Source organism: Homo sapiens, chromosome 4 (genome assembly GCF_000001405.40).
Source record: "Homo sapiens chromosome 4, GRCh38.p14 Primary Assembly".
Classification (NCBI taxonomy): domain Eukaryota; kingdom Metazoa; phylum Chordata; class Mammalia; order Primates; family Hominidae; genus Homo; species Homo sapiens.
This window is the reverse complement of record NC_000004.12, coordinates 137,942,146-137,953,532: the sequence shown is the minus strand read 5'-3', so window position 1 is coordinate 137,953,532 and position 11,387 is coordinate 137,942,146. Positions and strand designations below refer to the sequence as shown.

General features: G+C 37.6%; 1 long non-coding RNA gene across 1 annotated transcript; it reads right to left on the bottom strand.

The window, feature by feature from the left end:
• Positions 1-478: 478 nt before the first annotated feature.
• Positions 479-10,511, bottom strand: LOC107986315 (uncharacterized). The gene is made up of 3 exons (XR_001741843.2): positions 10,132-10,511; positions 3,283-3,352; positions 479-1,213 (listed from the first exon to the last, which is right to left on the bottom strand). It is a non-coding gene; the product is annotated as an uncharacterized LOC107986315 (long non-coding RNA).
• Between the last annotated feature and the right edge of the window lie 876 nt (positions 10,512-11,387).

Below are 11,387 nucleotides of genomic sequence, written 5' to 3'. Positions count from 1 at the left end.
CAATATCAAGGCTATTATATGGCCTTTAACAAAGAAGAATTCTACCTTTAGTTCACATTTTCCATTTGTGTCTCCAGGTTTTGTCTTAAAAACATTTTCATAATTTTATACAAAACATTTTTATGCTTATGTACATCTACTCATGTGTAGTTTCTGGGCCTATTGAAGGTAAAGGAGCATAACATGTTTGTTTCTGTCTCCCTTTCTTTGGTTAAGTAAAATATTAACCATAAGAAATGGGCATTTGCAACAAAACTCCTGTGAAATAAAAGTAATAAAATGTGCAAATTCTGAGTTGTTGAAGGGATCCTGAAGAGCTCTGGAGAAAATATATCTATCATTTTCACCTAGATTCAATATTCTTCCCTCTTTTAAGCTTTCCTTGACCCTACAGCTTGCCTGTGTCTATGTTTTAACATATTTACAAAACACCTTCTACATGTCAAGGATTGTGTTAATAAATGAAGATTAATTACTATTTTAAAATGTTGACATATGTTTATTAAATGTCTCCAGATGTACAGATTTGACATTTTGAATTCCTTATTATTTTAAGTTGTAGGTATACTTCTGCGTGTTTTAAGGCATATTGCATGTACATATTGAGCATGCATAATACAATAATCTGAAATCCGAAATGCTCCAAAATCTGAAACTTTTTGAGTACCAACATGAAGTTAAAAGTAGAAAATTCCATACATAAGTACTTAGTACAAACTTTGCTTCATGTACAAAATTATTCAAAGTATTGTATAAAATTATCTCAGCTTATGTGTGTAAAGTATATATGAAACATAAGCAAATTTTGTTTTTAGACTTTGGTTTCATCCCCAAGATATCTTATTATGTCTGTGCAAATATTCTAAAATCCAAAAAAACAAATCCGAAATCTGAAACAATTCTGGTCCCAAGTGTTTTGGATAAAGGTTATCCAACTTACATTGCTCATTTTATTTGTTGTTATCCAAAAACTCAGTGACTTGAAACAATAATTTATAATTACCTTTTGTAATCCTGTGTGTTGACTGGCCTAAGCTGGGCAATTCTTTCTTGCAGTCTCCAGTGCTGCTGCAGTCATGTTGATAGCTTGACTGGACTGAGATGGCTCACGCAGATGGCTTTCAGTTGATATTGACTGTTGGGTGGCATTCATCAGAGACTATTGACTCTCTAGGACTCAGGCATGCTTCTCACAAGCATGCTGGCTGGGTTCCTAGAGGCAACATCACGAGAGTGTTCAAGTCAGCAGAAGTGGAAGAGGACAGTCTATTAAAACCTGAGCCTGGAAAATGTTTCACAATCAGAGCCACATGTTCTATTGGTCAGTGCAGCCCAACAGACAAAGCCCACCCTGTTTCAATGGGAAGGTATACAAATGCCATCTGTCAAAGGGAGGGCTGTCAAAAAATTTGTGGCCGTTTTTATTTCACTATATACATGGATGCATGTGTGCATTTATAATTACCTAAGAACTTAAAATTTCAAAGATAGAAAGTAACAGTAGAACTTTTTTTTCTTTTCTTCTCTTTCTCCCTCTCCCTTTCCCTCTCTCTTTCTTTCTTCTCTTTTTTTTTTTTTTTTTTTTTTGACAGGGGTCTTTTACTGTCACCCAGGCTGGGATGCAGTGGTGTGATCTTGGCTCACTGCAACCTCGGTCCCAGGCTCTAATGATCCTCCCAAGTAGCTGGGGCCACAGGTGCACACCACCACACCCAGGTTTTTTTGGTATTTTTAGTAGAGACAGGGTCTCTCCACGTTGCCCTGTCTCTACCCTGTCTCATGTTGAGTTCAAACTCTTGAATTCAAGTGATCCACCTGACTTAGCCTCCCAAAGTGCTGGGATTAGTGGCATTAGCCACCACGCCCAGCCAGAACATTTGTTTTTTCCCTCCCTAAATCTCACTGTTTTATTCAAATAATATTATTAGTTGGTCATTATTTATGTGAATCTTATTCTGCTTACTAAGTATATTTCAGTTTTATTTATTTTTACTTTAATAGAACCACACGTGTATTTTTCTGAAATTACTATTTTCATTTCACAATATGTAACATGGCAAATATATATAATAGCAAATATGTAATGTGAACCCCAAAGTATCTGAGACAGGTCTCAATCAATTTAGAAAGTTTATTTTTCCAAGGTTAAAGACACACCTGTGACACAGCTTCAGGTTGTCCTGACAACATGTATTCAGGGTGGTCTGGGTAGAGCTTACTTTCATACATTTTAGGGAGAGATAATACATCAATCAATACATGTAAGATGTACATTGGTTCGATCTGAAAAGGCAGAACCACTTGAAGCAGAAGTTTCCAGGTCATAGGTAGATTTAAAGATTTTCTGATTGGCAATTGATTGAAAGAGTCAAGTTATTATATAAAGACCTGGAAGCAATAGAAAGGAATGTCTGGCTTATGATAAGGGTATATAGAGACCAAAGTTTTATAGTGCAGATGAAGCCTCCAGATAGCAGGCTTTAGAGAAAAATAGATTGTAAATGTTTCTTTATCATACTTAAGGTCTGTGTTGATGTTTTTATTATTTAGGCAAGACAAGTAGTTCAGGAAATAATTGCTATTGAAAAGACAGTTTGTTAAACTCAGAGATTCTAAGAGAAGGGGGCCTGCTAGAAACACTAGCCTTGAGAAATGAAGGTTTAAGTTAGCATGGCCATTGTTTATACTCCTAGGCTGAAACCAGGCCAGACAGATAGGTCTGCATTGACAGGGGTCAGGGAACAAAGCCCTGGGTCTTGTACCAGCTCCCCAGGATTAGAGCATGAATCCCAGGAGTGCTGGGCTGATCCTTGCCACTCTGAAAATTTTCAGAAATGAAGCCAATCACTGAATAGACCTTATACCACAGACAAACCCTCAAGGGCATCAAAGAATATAGAAGCAAAAGCCCTATCCAAAGGACAGCAGCTTCAAAGATTAAAGGAATGTCAGCCCGCACAGGTGAGAAAGAAAAAATGCAAGAACTCTGACAAATCAAAAGTGTCTTCTTACTCAACCCAGAGTGTCTTCTTACCTCCAAATGACCACACTGGTTCCCTAGCAATGGGTCTTAACCAGGCTGAAATGACAGATAAAGAATTTAGATTCTGGATAGGAACGAAGATCTTCGAGATTCAGGAGGAAGTCAAAACCCAATTGAGGAATCTAAGGAATCCACTGAAACAATATAAGAGTTGAAAGATGAAGCAGACATTTTAAGAAGAATCAAACTGATCAGATAGAGCTGAAAAACTTGCTTCAAGAACTTTAGAATATACTCACAAGTATTAACAGCAGAATCAACCAAGCTGAGGAAAGAAGCTCGAAGACCGATTCTTGAAGTCAACTCAATCTGACAAAAACAAAGAAAAAAGAAAAGAATGAACAAAACCTCTGAGAAATATGGAATTATGTAAAGAAACCAATCCTAGTTCTCACTGGCATCCCTGAAAGAGAGGGAAAGAGAACAAGCAACTTGGAAAACATATTTGAGAGCATTGTCCATGAAAATTTCCCCAATCTTGCTAGAGATATTGACATTAAAATTCAGGAAATGCAGAGAATCCCTCTGAGTTATTACACAAGAAGACCATTCCTAAGACACACAGTCATCAGATTCTCCAAGGTCAATGTGAAAGAAATAATATTAAAGGCAGCTAAAGAGAAGGGGCAGGTCACCCATAAGGCTAACAGCAGACCTTTCAGCAGAAACCCTATAAGCCAAAAGATATTGGGGGCCTGTATTTAGCAGTGCTAAAGAAAAGAAATGACAACCAAGAATTTCATATCCAGCCAAACTAAGCTTCATAAGCAAAGGAGAAAAAAGATCCTTTCCTGATAAGTAAATGCCAAGGAAATTTGTTACCACTAGACCTGCTTTACAATAGGTCCTTAAAGGGATGCTAAACATGGGAAAAAAAATCACTGTCACTGACCACCACAAAACGTAACTACTGACACACTATAAAAAAACTACACAATCTAGTCTGAATAACGACCAGTTAACATGATGACAGGATCAAATATGCACATATCAATATTAACCTTGAATGTAAATTAGCTAAATGCCCCACTTAAAAGGCACAGAGTGGTAAGTTGAATAAAGAAGAAAGACCCAACTGTATATTGTCTTCAAGAGACCCATATAACATGCAATGACACCCATATGCTCAAAGTAAAGAGATGGAGAAAAATCTACCATGCAAATGAAAAACAAAGAACAGGGGTTGCTATTCAAATTTCAGACAAAACAGACTTTAAACCAACAATGACCAAAGAAGACAAAGAAAGGCATTACATAATGATAAAGGGCTTGATTCACAAGAAGACTTAATTATCCTAAATATATATGCACCCAATATTGGAGCACCCAGATTCACTAAAGCAAGCTCTTAGAGAAGTACTAAGAGAATTAGATAAGCATGCAATAATAGTAGAAAAGTTTAACACCCCACTGACAATATTAGAGAGATCATTGAGTCAGAAAACTTACAAAGATATTCAGGAACTGAACTCCGATGCTTGAGCAAATGAACTTAACAGATATCTACAGAACTCTCCACCCAAAAACAACAGAATATATATTTTTCTCATCAGCACTTGACACATATTCTAAAACTGATCACAGAATCAGCCATAAAACAATTCTCAATGAATTTTTTAAAAACCCTGAAATTATGTCAACCACACTCTTGGACCACAGTGCAATAAAAATAAAAATCAGTACTAAGAAGATCTCTCAAAATCATATAATTACATTAAAAAATCTTCTTCTGAATGACTTTTAGGTAAACAATAAAGTGAAGACAGAAAACAAGAAATTATTTTAAACTAATGAAAACAAAGATAAAACATACCAGAATCCCTGAGACTCAGCTAAAGCAGTGTTAAGAGGAAAGTTTATAGCTAAACACCCACATCAAAAAGTTAAAGATCTCAAATTAACAACCTCACATCACACCTAGAGGGACTAGGAAAACAAGAGTAAACCAACCTGAAAGCTAGCAGAAGAAAAGAAAATCAAAATCTGAGCTGAACTGAATGAAATTGAGATACATAAAAAACATAAAAAAGATAAACAAAACCAAAACATGATTATTTGAAAGAATAAATAAGACACGATGACAGGATCATGCAAGCCAGACTGATAAAGAAAAAAGGAGAGAAGACCCAAATAAACACAATCAGAAATGACAAAGCGGACATCACCACCAACCCCACAGAATTACAACAAAACAAAACAAAAAACCTGAGACTATTATGAACACTTCTATGAACACAAACTAGAAAACCTAGAAGAAATGGATACATTCCTAGAAGTACACAGCCTCCCAAGATTGAAACAGGAAGAAACTGAAACCCTGAACCAACTAATAACAAGTTCTGAAATTGAATCATTAATGAAAAGCCTACTGACTAGAAAAGCCCTGGAAGAGATGGATGTACAGCTAAATTCTACCAGACATATAAAGAAGAGCTTTGTCGCAATATGGATGAAGCTGGAAGTCATTATCCTAAATCAATTAACAGAATACCAAATACTGCATGCTTCACTTAAAAGTGGGAGGTAAACATTGAGTACACTTAGGCATAAAGAAGAAAACAATAGACAGTGGGGCCTACTTAAGGGTGGAGGGTGGCAGGAGGGTGAGGATTAAAAAATGACCTATTGGGTACCATGCTTATTACCCGAATAACAAAATTATCTGTACACCCATCCCCCACAACATGCAATTTACCCATATAACAAACCTGCACGTATACCCTGAACCTAAAATAAAATCTGGTAAGAAAAAAAAACAAAACACACAAAAAACAAAAGCAAGGAAGATGTGGCACAGCTAATTTTTATGAATTAAATAAGCCATCATGTTCATTATACTGGCAGCAGTAAAGGCCAGGCTACTCTTTCAAAGTTTTTATTGTTTAGACAAGACCAATAGGTCAGGAAATAATTGCTATTGAAAAGACAGTTTGTTATACTCAAAAATTCCAAGAGAAGGGAGCATGCCAGAAACACTAGCCTTGAGAAGTGAAGGTTTAAGTTAGCATGGCCATTGTTTATACTCCTAGGCTGAAACCAGGCCAGACAGGTAGGTGCATTGAATGAATTCCAAGAGATGAAAAGAGAGAGATAAGTTGCATTTGTAGGTTAAACTAGCTGCAAGAGGAGTGCATTTGCTGAGAAACTTCCTCTATTAGATATTGCCCCACTGGGCCTGGTATTTTCAACTGTGTGGTTGAACATATTGAGTCTACTTTTCTGTTGAAAATCTTCCTGGTCGTAAGCCATCACCAACCTGAGACTGGCTATGCCCTCTTCATGGGATGTGGAACCATAAGAACATAATCTTGTCAGTGAGTCCTACAGAGTAAAGTTTGAAAAATAAAACTCGGGAAGCTGTCTGGTGAGAGCAGGCCAGATATTTACAACTTTATAATTGAGGACTGTGAGGTAAAACAGTCAGTCACTTCAATAGTCTTACAAGCCAAAAGAGTCCCATAATGCACAATGGAAATGTATTGCTGCCATGAAGAGTGAGAGGTTGATTGAATACAAGGGCCAACACCCATGCTCACAATCAAGGGTAGGATCTTGCAAGAATATGACCAGGCCCACTTCACCAAAACTACTCTCAGCCTTATGATGTGAGAGAAATATTGAATGTAGAAATATGCAATTTATGTTTTCCTTATATGGTGAAAAAATAGATCCTGGAGTGCTGACATGACCTTGTTCATAGTTACTTACAAGAAACCAAATGAACCATTAATTTAGACTTCCTTTTAACTGGCACATCCCTCCCTCCATGCAGGTTGCTAAGACTACAGAACTTCAAGAGCACCTCACTGAGGAACTAGGGAGGAAATGGGAAGAGATCATCTGTCTTAAGTTTAGGCTCTGCAGATAAAGAGCCTGAGTTCTTACTCATCATGGAAGATTTCTGATCATTTACTCATAGGAGACTGCCTTCAGTAGAAGAAGAGTAGAAAAGTGAGATAGGGCAGGGTAAAAATGTTAAGTAAGAATGTACCTTTATCCTGATCCCCAAGGGAACCTCCAAAGGTAAATTATACCACAGAGTTAGTCCAGCTTTGAGGCTAGTGAGGGGAAGGGAGTGAAGGAGGTGGGGCAGTCTTTTAAAAAAATCTCGCATTAGTTGAATTACTAATAAGGAGATGCTGGAGCCCGATTTATATTTCAAGGCATCTCCCTTTTGGCACAAGCCAATTCTCTAGGGAAGGCGACAGCCATCAGAAATTAGCAAACCACATCCACAGCTGGATATGCGTACATTAGCCAGGTAAAGGGCACCTGAGTGTACATTCACAGCATGTATAAATTATCTCTTCAGTTGTTTTATTAATATAATGCATATATTTTATTATGGGTTTTGCAAGATCAGTTTTTAATCAATCCTGTTCATTATCTACAATATTTGACCCAATCTAGCCTAGTTCTACCTTAATTCACCCAAATATATTAATTTTCCTGCCAATAACCTATGTAGATTTTATATAGAGTTTGGGTCCACGTGCCTTTGAGTAAATGGAAAATCGCATCTACCAATTACATTGGGAACTATCCCTTGAAACTTGTATGCCTCCATAATTCTTTTTCAATTCTTTATTTTTTCCGTTTCTTAATATAGTTAAGATCTGTCTTCTTTGTGTCTCTAAACATTCTTATACTTCTTTTTTTATAAAAGAGATAATTATGTTTATTAATAATTCTCAAAATCACTACACGGATAGACTAAGACAAGTTTTTCACTGTGAAACTAACAATAATTGATAATTTTTGCCTCTCAACATATAGACGATATAAAGATGAGGATTAAAACAATACAGCAGAGAAAAAAAGTCCCGAAAGTGAATGATAAATACAAATATTTGAGCTAGGGCTTACACATTTATATAAAAAATTAGCTTGAAAAATACTTCAATTTCAGAAAATGAACTAATAATAAAAATGCCTAAAACTTTGTGAATCTATAGTTAAAAGTAACAATTTAATCAACCTTTTTGAAAGTGCTATGAAATAAGAACATGAATGTCTTGAGGAAAATCATAGCCAACTTTTTACAATTTAAGTAAAGGAAATGAGCTTGTTTTTAAAATGTAGAGATCTAAGAATTCGTATATTTATAGTTGGTGCTTAGAGACTTTTGATTATTACTGTATAGCCTAATTAGGAACTTATGTTCTGGTAATGATATCATATCAGTAAGGAAAATAAAATGTTTCAGTAAGAAATTCTTCTCTGTGAATTGCTTTTGTTTTTAATTTAATAGTTTATATGGATTTTCTCACTTATGAAATGAAATAAAAACAACTCATTTTCTATCCATTAGGTGTACTTCTCATAGATATGGAGTAAATGTTACCTTTAAATATCACTGTAAATTATAAGTAATTTGATGCATATAAAGTGATCATGCAGTTCTCTTTTAATTAGGAAAGTGCTTAATGATGTAATACTTTTGACTGATATCTTCCTCAGTTGTGTGAATCAACACAGAGGATTTTAACCTCATGTTAAACCATAGGTTCCACAGTGGTTTATTCTTGCTCTGGTCTTTATACATATACATCAAAGGTTTTACCTTAACCTGTGTGTGTGTATGTATGTATGTATGTATATATATATATATATATATATATATATATATATATAACTTAAGAGATTGCAGACCATCAATACTAGGCAGACGAGTTTATTCAGGATTGAGTAAAATTACATTCACACGAAGCATTCAATTTTTCAGGAGAAAGTGATAAAGACTTGCTGTAACATAATGGTTCTCAACCTTGGCTGCATCTTGGAAAATCACGGTAAAATTTTAAAACGTAGGGCTTTCTGGGTCTCATCCCCAAGGATCCTGGTTTAATTGGCTGATGTGTGGCCCGATCATTAAAATTTTTTAAAACTCCCGAAGTATTTCTCTTGTATACCTAAGGGTACACACCACTGGAAAAGCTCATCTATATATGTCTAGGCTATTTTAAGGACTCAGTTTTCCAGCAGGTAGGTAATGTGTTTGAGTTGATGTACCCAACAGAAGCGTGCACCTCAGTAAGCTCCACTATGAAGACTAGCCTCTTCAGACCTCACCTCTGGGAAATGCTCTTTAGAGTGACGAACTTGTGGCATTTGTTTCATAAATGATGACATTTAGAAACAATATTGACAATATATTATTTAAAATTTTATATTAATTAAATCACTATAATGCACTAGTCTAGAATTTGCTTTTTCACTTGTTTCTAAATTTCATTCATGCTACTACGTATTTAATTTTTTGTCATTTTTAAATAGTATAATTTCATAATACAACATATTTTATTTTGCTTTGGATATATATTTTGTAATTTTTGGTTTGTTATTACAAATATTGCCATGATTAACATTTTTGTATGTATCTTGTAGCTCTTGGGTGTATATCAAAAAGTTTAATTCCTGGCTTGTAAGGCATGTATAGAATCACCTTAATAGATAAGGGCATAATTGATTTTCAAGTAGTTGTACCATTTTACATTTTATTAGCTTTATTTAAGAGTTCCAGATGCTCTACATCTTTGCCACTATTTCATCTTGTGAAAACTTGAAATCTAGCTTACTGTGTAATAATAACATTATGGTTTTAACTTGAAGGTCTTTGAAAGCTCATAATATAAGACATGTAGACATGTTTCATGTATTTATTGGTCATTTGTGTTTTCTATTCTCTGAAGTATCTATCCTTTTGCATCTTTCTGGGGAGTTATCTGTTTTTTCTTATTTATTTATAGTTATTTTTCCCCACCCGAGTGCCCCCTGCTCTATTTATAGAGTTTTAACAATTAAACTTTCTGTATCACAATCCTTTTTCATGTCACACAAGTGTCTTCCCCACGTTTGGCCTGTCTTTCATGAACATTGGTCCTAATTTTTAATGTAATGGGACTTGTAAATTTTTGTTTTACATGTTTTTACATTTATTTAACAAATATTTTCTTCCTTATATCAGATACACACATTCTATATTATCTTTAGTAACTGTATGGCTATTTTTACATTGTTTTAATCCACTCAGATTGATTTTTGTATGTTATTGTGTCTGGAATTGGTGGGTTCTTGGTCTCACTTACTTCAAGAATGAGGCCGCGCACCCTCACGGTGAGGTTTACAGCTCCTAAGGTGGCACGTCTGGAGTTTATCCCTTCTGATGTTCAAATGTGTTCGGAGTTTCTTCCTTCTGGTGGGTTCGTGGTCTCGCTGGCTCAGGAGTGAAGCTGCAGACCTTCGCGGTGAGTGTTACAGCTCTTAAGGCAGCGCGTCTGGAGCTCCTCGTTCCTCCGGGTGGGCTCGTAGTCTCGCTGGGCTCAGGTGTGAAGCTGCAGATCTTCGCCGTGAGTGTTACAGCTCATAAGAGCAGCCTGGACCCAAAGAGCGAGCAGTAGCAAGATTTACTGCAAAAAGCGAAAAAACAAAGCTTCCACAGTCTGGAAGGGGACGCGAGCGGGTTGCCAATGCTGGCTCGGGCAGCCTGCTTTTATTCTCTTATCTGGTCCCACCTACATCCTGCTGATTGGTAGAGCCCAGTGGCCTGTTTTGTCAGGGCGCTGATTGGTGCGTTTACAATCCCTGCCCTAGATACAAAGGTTCTCTACGTCCCCATCAGATTACTTAGATACAGAGTTTCCACACACAGGTTCTCCAAGGCCCCACCAGAGCAGCTAGATACAGAGTGTCGATTGGTGCACTCACAAACCTTGAGCTAAACACAGGGTGCCGATTGGTGTGTTTACAAACCTTGATCTAGATACAGAGTGCCGATTGGTGTATTTACAATCCTTGAGCTAGACATAAAGGTTCTCCACGTCCTCACCAGAGCAGCTAGATACAGAGTGTCGATTGGTGCACTCACAAACCTTGAGCTAAACACAGGGTGCTGATTGGTGTATTTACAATCCCTGAGCTAGATATAAAGACTCTCCAAGTCCCCACCAGACTCAGGAGCCCAGCTGGCTTCACCCAGTGGATCCCGCACCGGGGCTGCAGGTGGAGCTGCCTGCCGGTCCTGCGCTGTGAGCTCACATTCCTCAGCCCTTGGGTGGTCGATGGGACTGGGCGCCGTGGAGCAGGGGGTGGCGCTCGTCGGGGAGGCTCCGGCCGCACAGGAGCCCACGGAGGGGGTGGGAGGCTCAGGCATGGCGGGCTGCAGGTCCCGAGCCCTGCCCCGTGGGAAGGCAGCCAAGGCCCGGCGAGAAATCGAGCACAGCGCTGGTGGGCCGGCAGTGCTGGGGGACCCAGTACACCCTCCGCAGCAACTGGCCCGCGTGCTAAGTCCCCCATTGCCTGGGGCCAGCAGGGCTGGCTGGCTGCTCCCAGTGCGGGGCCCACC